This window comes from Homo sapiens, chromosome 2 (assembly GCF_000001405.40).
Source record: "Homo sapiens chromosome 2, GRCh38.p14 Primary Assembly".
In the NCBI taxonomy this organism is placed as follows: Eukaryota; Metazoa; Chordata; class Mammalia; order Primates; family Hominidae; genus Homo; species Homo sapiens.
Window position 1 is genome coordinate 142,951,121 of NC_000002.12, and position 18,644 is coordinate 142,969,764.

The 18,644-nt window shown below is 34.7% G+C and overlaps 1 protein-coding gene across 8 annotated transcripts in view; it reads left to right on the plus strand.

Annotated features, from left to right (window-relative positions):
* KYNU (kynureninase) overlaps positions 1-18,644 on the plus strand; it is a 178,170-nt gene that overhangs the window by 73,457 nt on the left and 86,069 nt on the right. For all 8 annotated transcript variants that reach the window (NM_001199241.2, NM_003937.3, XM_047446250.1 and 5 more), the window contains 4 exons: positions 3,690-3,751; positions 5,083-5,154; positions 6,521-6,595; positions 9,504-9,650. In NM_001199241.2, the coding sequence (NP_001186170.1) occupies positions 3,690-3,751; positions 5,083-5,154; positions 6,521-6,595; positions 9,504-9,650 (356 nt within the window). The remainder of the gene's footprint in view (positions 1-3,689; positions 3,752-5,082; positions 5,155-6,520; positions 6,596-9,503; positions 9,651-18,644) is intronic.

Genomic DNA, 18,644 nt, shown 5'->3' on the forward strand with positions numbered 1-18,644 from the left:
ATAAAGTTTGAAATATTGCAAGAATTATCAAAATGTGATACAGAGACATGAGGTGAGCACATTCTTTTGGAAAAATGGCACTGATAAGATCAGTTGATGGAGGGTTGCCACAGACCTACAGTTTGTTTAACAAACAAACAAACAAACAAAAGGCCAGGTGTGGTGGCCTATGCCTGTAATCCCTTCAGCACTTTGGGAGGCCAAGGCAGGAAGATAGCCTAAGCTCAGGAGTTTGAGACCAGCCTGGACATGGTAAAACCCTGTCTCTACCAAAAATACAAAAAATTAGCTGGATGTCATGTAACAGAGGTAGAAGGATTGTTTGACCTTGGGAGGCAGAGTTTGCAGTGAGCTGTGATCATGCCTCTGTACTCCAACCTGAGTGACAAAATAAGACAAAAAACAATGAAGTGAAGAGCAATGAAACAAAGTATGCCTGTACACTAAAAATCAGTCTGTTGTAGCTATTTGATGTTAAGAACACTAAATTCTTTAGTGCCTTTAGGTCATATTTGTAGTAAACACTTCTGTTAATGTTTTGAAACTTTACTATTTGCACCACCCCCAGTTATAAGTGTACACATTCTTGCATGTTGGACTAACCCTGTCCTTGGACAAAGGTCAGTAGCAGATGAAGATTGCATTTTGTGATGTGCTCAGTTAAGTTTAATTTAAAGTGGTCCATTGTACAATAATGTTTGTATATGTGTACAGAAAAATTGTTCAAATCAGGAAGGGATTATTTACAAAGAATTGGCCCAAGTGTGAGGAGGCCATTGAAAGTGAAATGAGGGAAGCTCTATACCAAGTGTAAGTGTAGTTTAATTCTGCCCAGCACATCTGGAGGGGAACATGTGTGTAGGTGCATCACATTCCCAAGCCAGAAAAATTTTAGGTGATTCAAAATGAACACTGTATTGTTTGGAGAACCAAAATGTCCAGGAATCTGTATCGTGTTTTGTTTGTTTGTTTTGTTTTTTGAGACAGAATCTCCCTCTGTCACCCTGGCTGGAGTGCACTGCTACCTCTCCTGACCCGCCACCTTCCCCAGGCTCAAGCGATTCTCCAACTCAGCCTTCCAAGTAGCTGGGAACACAGGCATGCACCACCACATCCAGCTGTTTTTTGTATTTTTAGTAGAGACAGGGTCTCACCATGTTGCCCAGGCTGGTCTTGAACTCCTGAGCTCAAACCATCCACCTATCTTGGCCTCTCAAAGTGTTGGGATTAGAGATATAAAACCATCATGCCCAGCCTATATCCAAATTTTCTTTTTATTTGTTTTTGTTTGTTTGTTTGTTTTCTTATTTCTTTCTTTGTTTTTGTTTTTGCTTTTTTTTAGATGCAGGTTCCACTCTGTCACCCAGGCTAGAGTGTGGAGTGCACTGGTGCAATTTATAGTTCACTGGAACCTCAAGCACTCTTCCTGTCTCAGCCTCCAGAGTAGCTGGAACTATAGGAGCATGCCACTACACCTGACTAATTTTTAAAAACTGTTTGCAGAGACAGAATCTCACTATGTTGCCCAGGCCCATCTTGAACACTTGGGTTCAAGCATTCCTCCTGCCTCAGCCTACCATTATATCCATTTTAATCAGAATATAATATTTAAGCAAAAATGGAATGTCTGAGCTTCTACAGAAAGCCTCCTTTTTCCTGCCTCTTCCATTTCTTGATTTTATTTGTGATAATTATTTTTTCTTTTATTTTCTCCTCACTTTATTCTTTAAAATGCTTCTCTTTCCACTAATTCTGTATTTTTCTTCATATTACTTTTTCTTTCCTCCTTCCACTCACCCTGCCATTTTTTTTAAATAAATGGTTTTCCAAATAGATGTGTGCAAATAACAGGGAGTCAAGAGTAAGATCAAGTTACTTTAGATAGTGTTTGTTTTAGAAATAGCAGTAAAAATTCACTCTATAATTGTTCTGTGGTCGACAGGTTTATGCAAACCTATCCCCCAAACCGGAGGAAGCTGAAAGGCCCAAGTAAGAGACTGATAAATCCAGTTTCTCAGAAAGAAACATTTAATAGGGAGTGAGAAACAGAAGTCATGATGTCCTGGCAATTGACAACAACAAGATTAGATAGTGAATCCCCCCGTACCATTACCCACCGCGTATGACTTATATGTAAAACATAGGGAAGGATTATGTGGAACAATTGAAGTCAACCTCTCAGGGAACGGCAAGAATGCTATGTGAATCTGCCTAAGGGCAGGATTTATGGTAGCAGCAGTTAAAATAGAAATCTTAAAGGCATTCCCAGAATAAGGGTTACCCAGAAGTCAACATGGCAGATTAACACCCAATATAGAGTTGCTTTAGCCTCCACAATAATGTAGGGAAATAAATATAATGAAGATGGCAGTATTTTTTAAACCATATTTCAAAGAAATCTTCTCTTTGAAACATGGAGAAGAAGGCATATGTCACTATATGCAACATAAGCTTATATTCATATCTATTTAGTATATCCAGGACAAATTTTATTTAGTTCTAGGAATATACAGTGAGATTTTTCTTACTGCCCCTTGACGTTAGATATTATTCACCTTACAGTGATCAGAGATACGTCTTTTAGCATCCACCACTTGTTCATCAACCTTGTCTGTCAAATGGAGAAATCTATGTGGCAAATGCAACAAGAAGTTTTCCTTGACCCAATAAAGATACAGGTCCTTCCTTAAATGGCTATGTTGAAATATAAATTCTTAAATTATATACTTATTTACATGGCTTCTCCCCTCTAGTGAACTTATCCTGGAATCTGTCAATTAGATTTATTCTATGTACTGTCTATTCTTTTAAAATGGGACTCTCTCAGAAATATCCCTCTGGATAAGGTACACATCTCATTTTTCTCAGTGACAGTAAAGGGGCGTAATTTCTATTACACAGGTCTAATTGCCTTGAAGAAACATCATAAGGACTCAAAACATGGAAGGTATTATTATTGTTGTGATTATGCTTTGAATTCTTAAGTAACCAATGTATTCTCTGTCTCTGGATCTGTTTCTAGTGTCAAAACCCTTGTTAGCAGGAATTAGATCAGATTATATTAATAATTATGTAGTGGATATCTTACTTTTGCATATTTTCTCATCAGACAATACACGTCTATATTATCTTTTATCTCAGTGTGTATGAATAAATGTCAGAGCTATTTGGGTCATAATTTGCTATGCGGCTGTTTTGTCTTGTTATATATTTCACTGTAATAACAGTGAGTTATGATTCACAAAGTTTGCCTCCTTTTATAAAAGGTGTATTTTAATTTGATGTTAGAAACAACGAACTTTAAAAATGTAATTGGCCTTAATATCTTTTTAGATTCCTTTGAAGATATACTTAGCACAAAAATATGCTCCTTGGGAATTTGACAATTGAGCTGATAATAGGATATATCATTTTTAGTTTACAGGCAAAAGCAAATGCTTCATTATTTTGTTGTTATTTACTACATCATAAAAGAAATTTAATTTTAGCTAGCTGTGTGCATCTAAGTCCAGATATCATTTGATAAAATGAGTCAAGTGGGAAAACTTCCATTTCTTTGTGATGACACATCAAATATGCCCTTATCTCTAAAGACATTAAGAATGATTGAGTGAAGTCTTCCTACTTTGTTTTTTCAGTATCTTTAGACATAGTACAAACATCTAAATTACGATATGTTTATTTTACAGGAGCCAATGAGAAAGAAATAGCCCTAATGAATGCTTTGACTGTAAATTTACATCTTCTAATGGTAAGTTTTCTTTCCCACTAATGTTTAGAACACATTCATTTACAGAATCTGATGTTTTTCTATCTTTAATTCATGAGCTTCTGGGGGTTTACTTATTTAAAAATAAATTGTGAGGTTATTTTCATTTTTACTAGGAAATGCTGGACCATGATATAATAGCTTCTTCCTAATCATGGAAGAGTTGACTCTTGAGAAGAGCTTTAGAATAATGAACAGTTCTTGTCTGGGAAAATAAAGAATAAGAGCCATAATGGGTAAATAGGCAAACTACATGCAAGCCTACAAAACAGTGATGTACAATGCTAGCAAAGCACTGACCTTTTTGGAAAGACAATTTTCTAATGGCTTCAGCAGAGTGAGTTAGTGGATCAGTATACTTTTGTATATTAATATAGGTTAAAAAAGACTTGGAGTATTAAATTTTTAAAAAGAGGTCTAGTACCTTAAATGAGTTAATGTGTTTAAAGTACTTCTTACATCTTACTCAATAAACAGTTTTACCTTAAAGTGTCAAATCTATTATCTATTAGGGATATTGTGTTAATGGTGACTGCCCAATGCTTTAAAGAATCTTGACTTCATTTTTTCAAGTATGTTTTGGAAACATGTCTACAAGTTCAGATATCCCTGGATTTGACTCCCAGCTAAATTACATAATGCTTATTTGAGGTTGAAAAAGGCTTTTGGCATCTCTAAGTCTTAGTATTTTCCTTTGTAAAAATGAGAAACATAATATCTACCTCAAAGATCTGCATGAGAATTAAATGTAATAATATGTGAAAATTGCTTTAGTACCCTGGCCAGTGATCAACACTCAGTTAACAGTAGCTATCATCTTCGTTGTTATTGTTGTCAATATCACTCTCTAGGAACTGTGTGGAGAAATGAAAGAGCTTCACTGAACAAATGAGCTACTATCAATACAAATAAGACATACATAGACCATAATATTTCAGTGTCATGCCATCAAAATTACCATGAAATGCTTTGGGAAGATAATTTGTCAATTAACAGCTTTTTTTGTTGTTAATCATCAGACTTTAAGTTTCATCAATTAATATATAAGTAAAGTTTGAGGATTCGTTATCACATTCACATTTTCCCCCGAGTTTGCTGTTTCATTGATAAGCAAATTGAGCCAATATCTTCTTTCTCTTTGAGATTCACTGGAAACATGGCTAATTGAAAAGGTAGTCCTGACAAACACTTAAGATGTTGAGTTAATTAATGTCTTTAAAATACTGGAGATTATAAAATGATAGTGTGACATAAAATGAACAAATGTATAAATTGTGTATTAATGCTTTCTCAATAAATCCATTTTATTGCAGTTATCATTTTTTAAGCCTACGCCAAAACGATATAAAATTCTTCTAGAAGCCAAAGCCTTCCCTTCTGATCATGTAAGGACTTCTTCAAATTGTATTTATGTTCTTTCTACTCTTCCTAGAGCAGTGTATCATTTGCCTGACTTGAATGTTTACTCACTAGGCTTTTCCAAGCAATCTTACAATAAAAAGATCTGTCAAATGCTTTTGATTAAATTTTTTAATAGATTATAGCTTTATTTCTTTTGTTAAAGTAAAACACGTGTTAAGGGAAGAGAAGATGGAATAGGAACATTGATTTATTAGTCTTTTTAAAGACATTGAGCAAACCACTGCTCTAAATCAAGTGCAGTTATAAATGTTTTATTAATTCTTATTGCTCTTTTATTTTATGAAATCAAATCAATACAAACCCCAGTGCTTAACCCTTTAGCTAAATAGAATAGGAATATAAACTTTTATTTGTCCAGTGTGTTTTCATAGCATGCTAGCATAAATGTTGGCCCATTATTATCAAAATATTATTTATTAGAGATTAAAAATATTTCTTGTGATTTACTAAAAAAAGTCACATTACTTTACTTGATGATGAGTTGTTTATTCTTACTTGATAAGAAATGTAATGGTTTCAGACACAAACACAAATAAAAGTACAATGTAAGTCTGGGCACAGTGGCTCACTCCTGCTATCTCAACACTTCAGGAAACCAAGGCAGGAGGAACACTTGAGCCCAGGAGTCTGAGAACAGCCTGGGCAATATAGTGAGACCTCGTCTCTATAAAGTAAATAATAAATAAATAAATTAATTAATTTTAAAAGTACATTTTATATTTTAGTTTTGGTGTTAGAGAAACTTTATTTCTCTATATTATTGCTGTCTTTTACTCTAGCCCTTGTAATTTTAGGGCAAGTAATTATGTCAAATGGAATAAAACCCTAATATCTTACTAAAATGGATCAAAATCCTAATATCTACAAAAGATTCCAGGTCGGTGTGGGGGCTTATCCACATGCATATCTGGTACTCTTAATGAAGTAAACTTCTTAATGCCTTTTTTTTAGCTAACTTACTCTTCCTAGGGTAAGCCATTTCTATATCCTATGTTCAAGGATGACAAGTCCCTACTATTCATTTTGCTTATTTTGCAAATTCTGGTTTTGACTTAGATTAGATGATTTAATTTCTTATTCTAAAATCTCTTATAATTCCTTAAGTCAAGGAGATCCCTCTGTTTTCATCTATCTCAAAGAATGTTCAGAATTCTATATGTGAATTTTATTAAGTGGTTCTTCTCTGTTGTGTATTTTGTTTAGGTGTTTTAACCTTCACCTTGGATTTAATATAATAATATGCCCTTATTTTTACTTTATTATTTGTTATTTCAATGTACTTCTGTGCTCTCAGCTTGATTTGATAAATACATCATCTTTCCTTTTTAGTATGCTATTGAGTCACAACTACAACTTCACGGACTTAACATTGAAGAAAGTATGCGGATGATAAAGCCAAGAGAGGTATATGAGAAAGAAAGAAATATTTGTCATGCTTTGTTTAGTATTGATTTTTTTCTTCATTTTCCTCAAAAGTTTATTAAAATCTTCATTACTTTAATGGAACTTTCAAGAAAGCATGAAGGACCTATACTTCTGTTACTATTAGATCATTTTGCTTAAAATAGAGAATAACTCAGATGTGTATTTATTTTCATTTTTCAAGGGCTAGCCATATGGCAAGCAAACTATTTTTCTGTTAATACCACTGGATTCTGCCATATTCTTCAATGGGATGGGAAAAGGGTGACAAATTTAGTATATCATTTTCAATTCCAAATGTCATGCCCATGGGTGCCATTAAAATCATGCTAAAGACCAGAATTATTTGTTAAAATGGAATCGTGACTATATTTCATGTCCCCTCTTACTCTAAGTATCAAACATTTTCTTTGTGTTTAGACTAGGATAGTGGAGAAAGGGATGTGGTATAATGGGAAGAGCTTTGGCTTTACAGTCTGGCTAATATTTCCAGTGAAATCTCAGACTCTCCAGTTTACTGGGTATGTGACTTTGGGAAAGTTACTTTATTCTCTGAGACTCCTTTATATTTAAACAGATAACAAAAGCATGTGTCTAATCAGGCTTGACCTAAGATCTAAATGTGTACTTTACATTAATAGAGATAAAAGGCTCACAGACTTTGACATTTAAACCCTGCAGCTTGTGTAATTTGTCACTAGTCGAATCATACAGAATAAATTTTAGGTTTCACATAAGATGCTCCCAGACCGCTAGTCATTGTTTGGACAATTACTTCTTTCAACCCAGAATTACTTTGAATAAATTAAAGATGTACTCTATTCACTTCCATTTGCCAACATACAATAAATTAATGGAATAAAAAGTTCTCACATGAGAGGATATAAATTGAGAGGATATAAATTGTTAATTTCTAGCAAAAATGAACATAGCTGCTAATAATCACATAAGTGACCAATATTGTGGAGTTTCATGAGTTACTCATAATCTTGGGACCACTGTTGAGCATTACCTAGAACAAGTCAACATGAGAGAGGGCCGTATCCTGTCGTTGAAAAATGTATTTCTTATGTGCTTAATACTGATTTTTTAAGATATAAATTAAGTATTAGTATCTATAATATTTTCCTTACCACTTTATTGGAAATTATGGTGGGTAAACCTTATTAGATTGTTTTAAGAATAAAGAGTTTTGGATTGCCAAGTTATCAATTTTACTTACAATTAATGACATTCTTTTCTTTATATAAAGTATACTTCACTTAATAATTCAGATATTTTAATAACAATCCCATTAATATTGGGATGCCAATTTTTATTGATGCCCATTTTGTAAACAAATTCCTGGTTTCTTCTAGTAGAGAGTTTATTTCACACCCACACACATACACACTCACACACACACACACGTACTCTCTTAACATGGAGCAGAGTAATTGGCAAATACCAAGATAATTAAAAATTAAAAGTAAACTATAGGATAATATCTTAATGAGCTTCCCCCAAATATTAACGTAATTAATGATGCATTGACCTCAAAATCATGTCAGACAGCACTGGAGAAAATTCATGGCTGGGTGCAGTGGCTCACGCCTGTAATCCCAGCACTTTGAGAGTTTGAGACAGGCAGATCACGTGAGGCCGGGAGTTCAAGACCAGCCTGACCAACATGGAGAAACCCCATCTCTATTAAAAATACAAAATTAGCCAGATGTGGTGGCACATGCCTGTAATCCCAGCTACTCAGGAGGCTGAGGCAGGAGAATCACTTGAACCTGGGAGGTGGAGGTTGTGGTGAGCCAAGATCGCACCATTGCACTCCAGCCTGGGCAACAAGAGTGAAGCTCCGTCTCAAAAAAAAAAAAAAATTATGAAAACTTCAGAATTGCTAGGATACAGGATACACATAGGTACTTTGTATTTAACTAATTTTTTTCAGCTCAAGTTGTTTGCAAGACCAAATCTAAATTCATTCACAACCTTTAGTAAGTAATCAATTATTAGTTGTAGTGGCAAGATATAAGGAAAAAACCCTCTATTATAGTCAGTTTTATTGATATTTTTCTTCTTGTTTGGGTCTTGAGCTTTAGATTAGTTTGGAGGAGATTTTAATCTTAATCTAATAGAAGATATTGGCTAGGTAAAACTCAGATAAAAGATGTGTAAGTGTTATGTTTTCTTTGGTTTAGTTTAATTTAGTTTAGTTTTTTTCTGAGACAGAGTTGCTCTGTCACCCAGGCTGGAGTGCAGTGGCACTATTCTCGTGCTTCCGCCACCCAAGTAGCTGGGATTACGGGCATGCACCACCACACCTAGCTAATTTTTGTATTTTTAATAAAGACTGAGTTTCACCATGTTGGCCAAGCTGGTCTCAAACTCCTTACCTCAAGTGATCTGCCCACCTTGGCATCCCAAAGTGCCAGGATTACAGGCGTGAGCCACACACCCGGCATGTTTTCTTTTTTTGGAAACAATAACAGGATATCAGATTGATAAATGCAATACCAATTTCTGATAATTTATCTTGCTATATAATACTTCATGGACTTCTTGCACTTTGTGGTGTTTTATTAGTCAGGAATAAGGAGAAAACAACTTATAGCTGTGGAAAGAGTACAAATTAATTTTTAAAAACTGGAGAATAAATCAAGCAATTCGGCTTTTGAAGACTTTCACTTGAAAAAACACTTTTTACTTTTTAATTATCATTTCTTAATAATAAAAATTATGCTCAAATGCTGCTCTTATGCCAGATTTTTAAAGAACCTTAATCTGAAAAAAAAAACTATTTTATAATGCAAAAGGGCTCACGGTGAAATTTAGATCGGCAATATGAAATTACAAATTTATTATTATCGATATGACCTAACTTGTGCCTAACTTGATTTAGGGGGAAGAAACCTTAAGAATAGAGGATATCCTTGAAGTAATTGAGAAGGAAGGAGACTCAATTGCAGTGATCCTGTTCAGTGGGGTGCATTTTTACACTGGACAGCACTTTAATATTCCTGCCATCACAAAAGCTGGACAAGCGAAGGTATGCACGCCATTTACTTCTTCCCACCTTACTCCAAACATCACTCTACTTAAGAGTGTTCTAATTGCATGACTTGTGAAGTACTTTAGCTTGTGTCTGAGTAAAACTATTTCAAAAGTTAAAAAAAAAAAGAGTAAACCTTGGGCCAGGCACGGTGGCTCACGCCTGTAATCCCAGCACTTGGGAGGCTGGAGCAGGGGGATCACGAGGTCAGGAGTTTGAGACCAGCCTGACAAAAATGGCGAAACCCCATCTCTACTGAAAATACAAAAATTAGCTGGGCATGGTGGTGGGCACCTGTAATCCCAGCTATTCGGGAGGCTGAGGCAGAAGAGTCACTTGAACTCGGGCGGTGGAGATTGCAGTGAGCCAAGATCGTGCCCCTGCACTCCAGCCTGGGCAACAGAGCAAGACTCCATCTCAAAAAAAAAAAAGCGAGTAAATCTTACATTTTTAAAAGAAAATCTGTAATCTTTTTTGCTTCAGGCATCTCTATTTAAACTGCTTTTTTTTTTTTTTTTTTTTTTTTGCCACTTCTGTGGTCTCACCTCCTTAGTAGCAGCTGCTCTGTGCATTTGCCTCTAGTCAGCAGGCCAGGCAAGCTGTAGGTGATGCCATTGGTACTCAGCTGGTCAGTCACCAGGAAGCAGACAAAATACTTAAGATAGGAAGTACATGCTAGGTCTATTAAAAATTCAACTCATACTTTGTCATACTATAAATCACTCTATAAATGAGTTTTCACTTAATGCTGAGTATCTAAAGATGAAGAAATGCAGAATTCAATTTTATCAGTAGATCAAATTTTATACAAGTTACTTTAAGGAGGCCATTTTATTCCTAAGACTCTTGAAAATTTTTTATACTGCCTGTAATGAGAGCTTTTTTTCCTACCCACTACTAAATCACAGTTAAATTGTTTTGAAGTCATGTCTCTTTGTATGTAAGTGTTTGTAAAAAGTGTTTTTAGTATTTATTTGAAAAAAAAGGGCAACATTCAACAGTCACAATTTGTGTTTAAAATCTTTAAATAGCACTTCTATTTCATTCAGCAATCAAGCCATGTATTTAAAAATGTGACAATTGAATTTTATTCTGAACATTAATAAGTTATGGGATTAATATACATGTGAGATCTAGTTAATATATTCAGTTATTGAAGCTAATGAATGGAACTAATTAAAATATATTTAGCACTGTTATCAGCAGTCTCTAGGAATTTCTAACAACGACTTCCAACTGCTTTGACGGATAACTCTGAAAGTGGTGCATTACAAAAGATATAAAGATAATGTCTTCTTAATTTAGATGTTAAATGTTAAGCACCAAAATAAAGGGAGGCCAATAAAAAATCATATTTTAAAATGTTATGCAAGTAATCAGCAGTCCCTGCTTCCTTAGTATACACGTATGTCTCATTAACCTTCCTAGACATGAGACAGCAAGATACAGAAGAAAGACCATGGGTTTCCATCACACAATCTGAGGTTCAAATCTTGGCTAGGTCATTTAATTGTTACACAATCTTGAGCAAGTTACTTGACATCTCGCTTTAAAAGTGCTAATTTAACATAACAGCACCCACCTTACAGGTTCAGTGTGAGAATGATGAATATAAAACACCAAATGGATTGGCACACATTCTGCTATTAAATGATGGTTTCCTTACCTTTCTACTCTTCTCAATTAATATGATATTATAAAGTGGTTGAGAGACACTTTCTTTTGTTTCCCATTGAAACACAAAATAAATTTGTTTACTTTAGGTTTTATAAGTAAATCTCATACTTAAGTACTTTGATTGCTAAAGCCATTTGTTAAATGTTTTGCAGGTTTTCTTTAACTTAAAAAATATAGTAAATGCCTACCAAGTTAGTCTCATAGAACTCTCAGTCAAATAAATGAAGGTAGGAATGAGCAGCTTTAAGTGTAACTATGAAGAAGCAATCAATACTATGGGAATCAAATGGGGATATAGCAGATGTAGATTTATCCATTATCAAGATTATTCTAACAAATTTTTACCCTCTTGCTGTAGTTCCTCCTATTATCAACCAAGGTGAGGCAAAGTTCTTTGAAATGTAGACTTCGATAGGTCTCTCTGGTGGTCTGGTCATCTGTGAATAAAACTGAAGAGAGAGGCAGAGAAGAAATTAAAGGTGTCAATCAAGAAAGAGATAGGAAATTCTAAGAACAAAGGGCATGACACAGTCACTGGTAGATTTGGACATGTGAGGCAAAAAAACGTTTTCAGAAATAAAGCATGGTGGGAATACAAAATGATGGTGGGATGGAGCAATGAGAGTCAATCAGGAGGTTCTGAGGTAAAATCTTCATAGTCATGTGATAAGGAAGAAGAAACAGAAATTGTGAAAAATATTTTAATTTAAGAAATGTATGTATACCAAAAACAGCATGAATCATAAGCAAATAGCTTCATGAGTTATTTTGAGGCCTTATAACCATCACCCCATCAAGAAAAAAAAAGTATTTCCAATACTCAGAATCCTCAATCGTGTCTTCTTCCAAATACTACCTGTTACCTTCTGTCTCTGTCCACTTGGGCTGCTATAACAAAATACCTTAAACTGGGTAATTTAAAAACAACATAAATATATTGCTCACAGTTCTGGAGGCTGGGAAGTGCAAGATCAAGATGCCAGCAGACTTGGTGTCTGCTTAGGGCTGCTGTTTGTTTCACAGATGACGCCTTGTTGCTTTGCCCTTCCTCACATGGCAGAAGGGCTAAGGGAGCTTTCTAGAGCCTCTAATACAAAGGGACAAATTCCATTCATGAGGAATCACTTAATCATGACTTAATCATTTCCAAAGCCCTGACCTCCTAATACTGTCACATTGGGTATAAGGTTGTGACATATAAAATTGGGGTCTGGGGAGACCAACATTTAGACCGTAGCATCCCCCTTTCAAATTTATAATTCCCCTAACTTCTAACCACATAGTCAGCTTTGTCCATTTTGAACTTTATATAAATGCATTATTTTGTCTAGTTTTGAACTTTATATGAAGGTATACACAGGTTGAATATTCCTTACCTGAAATACTTGGGACCAGAAGTATTTTGGATATTTTTGGATTTTGGAATATTTGCATTATACTTACTGCTTGAACACACCAAATCTGGAAATCTCAAGTGCTCCAATGAAATTTTTATTCTTTGAGCATTCTGTCAGTGTTCAAAAAGTTTTGGATTTTGGAGCCTTTCAGATTTCTGAATTTGGGATTTTAGATGCTCATCTTTTATAAAGTTTTTTTTTGTGTTTGGCTTATTTGCTACTTTTATATGTGTGAGATTCATTCATGCAGTACCTAGCAGTACTTTTGTTTGTTTTTTTTTTCTATTTCAGTGTATTTTTACATAGTATGAAATAGATCACAGGTTTTTTCCGTTTTATTTAGGGTAGATATTTGGATTTTATTTTCATTTGAGAACTACTAATATAATAATACATGCTACTCTAAATATTCACATAAATTTTGGGGGGTATACATTCATATACATTTCTGTTAAGTATATACCTAGAATTAGAATTCCTGAACCATAAGGTATTTGTATATTTATTTCTAATCAATAATGCCAATCCTCCAAAAAAGTTGTTCTTCTACCAGCATATATTAGACTTTCTGTTTCTCTACAGCTTCACCAATAGTTACTGTTTTCAGTCTTTATAATTTTAGCTGTTCTAAGTAGTTTGCAGTGGTAATGCGTGGCAGTTTTATTTTGCAGTTCCCTGATTATTGATAAGATTGAGAATCTTCCAAATACTTGTTGATTTTCTATATATCTTTTATGAAATGCTTGTTCAAGTGTCTTGCCCATATTTCTATATGGTTAGCTTTCTTTTCCTGGTTTGATTGTAGGTGGTATAGAAATTGATTTTGAAGGAGAGAGAAAATACAAGATTTCAAGTGGTCATCAAAGAAGAAAACTAATTAATAAAAAGAACAATTGATAATATGACTTTGATTCACACAATAGATTTAAGATACTGAGGCTTTTCTTAACTGAGGAGGCCTGAGATTGTAGCAAGTGGGGGAGGCCAAGGAAAACAGGTTAGAGAGCTCAATAACAAGGGAAGGCCAGCATGTGGCAAGAGACATCAGTTTGAAGATGCTTCTTCAAGATGAAGATGTGCCAACCCATCTTTTTGGAGCTCTGTCTTACTTCCATGTTTCTATATTTTTCATATTCTGTTACTTGTTTCTACTAGGAACTTCTTTCCTACACCCACTAATTGTAGATGTTTCTGATTGTCCCCTGCATTGTATCTCTAGTGATTTTTAACCACTGCCATAATTCAGCTACCACTGTCAAGTGCAGACTCCAGGCTACTCATACAATAGGAAATAGCCTGCATCTTCCCACTACATCCGGATGTCCTATATGTACCTTGGGATCAATATGCTCCAAAGAGATTTGTGTCATCCACAAGATGTCTCTACTGTATCATCATGTCACCATCTTTCTGGACCAGTACACTCAGCTTTTCTGTTCTTGACCTTTTTAACCTATCTCTTATTAATTTCATCCTTTCAGGGTCTGTCTTTCTTTTAATATTTCTGAATCAAAGATGAATGTTTTCAGCTACAAGAAACAAATGTTAACCTTGGGTGAAAAATGCAGATTTCTTTTTCTCACCACGAAAGACTTGAGGCAAGGGGCTGCTGGGGTCCACTCAGCAACTCAATTATGTCTGAGTGCCATCTCCCAAGTTTCCTTAGAGTTTTCTCAGACTTTTTCCATCACAGTCACAAGATATTTGTCTCAAATCCAGAAATCTCATTTCTATTTAAGGCAGAGAGAAGGAAGAAGGGAGAAGCAGCAGGGCAGCTTCATCTGTTTCTTTCATCCTAAGTGCTAAATCTTTCCCAGAAAAAAACCTAGCAGATTCCTGCTAATGACTCACTGCTTCCTGAAATGGCAGCTAAGAAAGAGCATGAGTAAGGAAATATTTCACATCTATGGCCCTAAAGTAGAGAGAGACTAAGAGGAAGGGGTTGGGAATGGGCTTCGGGTTGGCTAAATATAATATTTCTTATGTTCCTCAATTATACCCTCATAGGATCTCATTGTTCCTAACCCATTTTCCTCTTTCCTCTTTCATTGCTCCTTTTTCCTTTTTTTCTATCCCTTTATTCTTCCCCCTCGCTCTCCTTTCTTTTTGTTCTCTCCCTTGCTCTCTCTCTTTCTTTTTTCTTTTATCGTCTCATTTCACAAAGCATTTGAAACAATTCATGGAAAATTGACAAGGTGAAAATAAGATATAAAGCAAGAGGAATCAAGACTGTATGCCTAAATCATCTTGAGGTATGAATAGACTTTCCCACAAATTTAGATTATAATAAGAAATAGGAAATAAATAATGAAAAATATTTTAATAAGAACTCTTGATGTGTTAGGTAGAATAGTTATTGGTTATAAATAAATACAGTCACAAATGTCTTCACAGTGATAGATGTTTATATTTTACTCATGCATCGGGCAGGAATTAACTTTCTCTCCATCCATTAATTCAGGTTTCCAAAAGATTCATGGTTGTGTCCTTTGGCTTTTGTGTCCACAGCCTCTGTCTGGATTCAGTCAAAGGAATGCACACTAACTTCTTTAAAGTCTTAGCTTAGAAATGGCAACATTTACTTCCACTTATATTCCATTGACTAACACTCAGTCCATGACCTTTTCTGGGAAATGAAGTATCACTGCATGCTCAAGAACAGCTGTTAGTTTTGCTACACCTGGAACTAGTTATTGTGTGTTCCTGATGGAATAGGATACTTATTCTAAGATGCAGTATGGCATTTTCATTAACAGAATGTGTAGATCAGGAAGACACAGTCAGACCTGGACTTGACTCTAGGTCTCTACATTACTTTTCAGCATAGTTTTAATTCATTTACTAATGTGAGTTATTTTGTCCATTTAACAAATTAGGAAAATAATCGTGCCAACTTCACAGGTTTGTTCTAAAGAGAATGAAAAGGTATACATTTTAAAAATACTTAGTGCTTAGCAGATGGTAAGCACTCAATAAATGTTAGCAGTTGTCAACATGTTAAGAAAAAAAATTGGACTATCCAGGCTTGTTGGAAAAAGAAATAATGAAGAAATGAGATTTTTTAGGCAGAAAGTGAAATATCCAGAATTTTTTATTAAAGACTGTCACTGAATAGTTCCACACTAGAATTAAAAAAAAAAAGAAAAGAATAATCTAAGCAGTTTGGCCAGGACTCAAGAGACTAAACTGAAGTTTTAAAAAGTTAAGAGATGGAACTTACAAAAATTTTAATAGTCTTATTTTTAAAAAACTCAGCACAAACTCTTTGTACTCCTCCATCCCTTTCTAATTTCATCTAAAGTGGCTTAAAGCACATGGAAACTTAAATGGGACCTAGTTGTTAGGAAGAGCCAAATAAGTATTTGTTGAATGAATGAATGAATGAATGAATGATTCCCTTAATTTCTCACATCTTTTACACATTTTAGTGTACCTAATGGATGCTGGCATATTTGTTTTTTTTCAGCTTACTAAAAGTTGAATGCAAATGGTGGTTAAAAAGAAGACCAAATTCTGCAAACTCCAACATTGTTTTATTAGCTTCTACTTCTTTGTGTGCCATATGATGCTTTGTTTGGGTGCAAACGTCTCACATCTCTTAGACTCAATCATAAGCTGTTTAAATTATTAAAAAATAATAATCACAATGATAGCCCAGGCAGTTTGAATAAAAATGAATTACTTCTGGATCCAGAATAATTTAAGGCAAAAATCAGAAATACGAATAAAGACATCATTAATAAAATCATTTAGTAAAATCACAGGTACCCAAACCACATTTAAATATGAATATCCACCTCAGTGAACCTTCTATTTATCTTCAGATAGTCCTAATTATTTTTTAAAAACAATTTTGAGTTTATTTTAGAACACACCATTGAGTGATCAAGCCTCAAATTTCTACAGAAAGCTTGGCCGTGATGCTTTTAGTCCTGAAAATTGGAAATCAACTGTCGTAATATTATAATAGAATAATATCTCTGTAATATCTCTATTACAGTAGAATGATATCAATAATACATGGGATATCAGAACTTGAGCAATTAATTAGCTAGAATAAATGAGTACTAAACACTTTTGTGTACAAATATAAATTAGCATAATGTATGAAATTTTTATCCATAAAAATTAACCTCTTTCATAAAAGTTTAATACTGGAATGTTAAATAAGTCATCTTTACCAGAAATTGTTGACATTAGAGACATTTTGCTATTGTCACTGGCCATTCACCGAATAGGATCTTAGTGTATAAGAAGAATCCTGTCGCTATTGTTTCTATAGTAGAACCATAGAATAGCATGCATTTGGATCTTTTATCAGTACATATTTGGTCAGTAAATTATAATAAAGGAGTTGCAAATAGAAACACCTAACTTAACCTGGATTGTCAGGGTGAGACCTTCTTAAAGAAGATGAGATCTGAGCCAATTATAGAATATGGGTAGAAGTTATCAGGTAAAATCCCTTCTAGAAAGTTAAAAATATTGGTAGGATTGCAGGGAAGCAAGTATTTCAGTGTAATTTGTGTAATTTTAGAAAAGGGAGGACAAGTCTATAAAGCAGACCAAAGGCCAACTAAAGAAGGTCCCACTAAGCCATTTAGCTTTGCCCTGAAGACCCATGGAAAGCCATTGAAAGGTTTTAGCCATTCAAAGAGCCATATTTATATTAATTTTACAAAGAAATATCCTGCATATGGTGATGAGAATAGATTGGAATGAAATACAGGTGGACGAAAAGAGGCAATTGCAGTATCTTTGCAAGAATTTGAAAACTCTCTGTTGCGTGGGCGCCGTAGCTCACGCCTGTAGTCCCAGCACTTTGGAAGCCTGAAGCAAGTGGATTGCGTGAGCCTAGGAGTTCGAGACCAGCCTGAGCAACATGTTGAAACATCGCCTATATAAAAAATTAAAATATAGCTGGGTGTGATTGTGTGTGCCTGTAGTCCCAGCTACTCAGGAGGCTGAGGTGGGAGTATCACTTGAGCTCAGGAGGTGGAGGCTGCAATGAACCAAGATCACACCATTGCACTCCAGCCTGCTGGACAGAGTGAGACTCTGTCTCTAAATAAATAAATAAATAAATAAATATGCTCTGTCATTATGATACAGTTCAAAAGATGAAGGTATGAAAGGACAGATCCATTTCATGCACACAATTTTTTTTATCTCAGGGGAAATCATTTTTATTCATCCTCATTCCCTCAGTGACAATAAAAACAGGTTACGTATAAGCATCAGAAATAAAGTATCTGTACTGAACTCCTGTAGTTTAACTCACCTTTGGTTCTATTCACAGAATTCAAGAAAAAGACATGTTAAATACACACAAACACACACATATATATATTTGTAAATATTTTTGGGTATGCTTATATACGTGTATATGTACGTGTATATATATACTTGACACATTTTCAGGGTGATAGAAGATATACTATATCTGCTTATGAAAAATGTTGATTAAGGAATTTACACCTGTATTTTGATGTAGGGGAAAATGACATAAAGCTTAGATGCAATGTTCCATTAGCTAATTGGTCTTTACTCTTCACTTTGGAAATAGTGGAAGATTGTTTTGTTCAGACAGATAGTGAACAATCTGTAGTCTTAAATCCATGCAGGTGGAAGCCTAAAATATGTCAAATAAGTCAAAATATGTTGGTGAGGATCAGTGCCCAAGAATCTGAAAATTTTGAGCTGTTTCTAAGAAGTCTTCATCAGGTGTTTAATTTAAGCTTTTGATTAAATAGACCATTTGAGAAATAATGATTAATTCTCAATGGAAATGAAGCCTGGCCTCCAGATGTTGTTATAGGATTACAGATCTGGGAAAAGCAAGCCTCCTGGTTGTCAATCAGGATCTCTGCTTCTGCAGCCACCCTTATCAAAGCCATGAGGGATATCTATTTCTCCT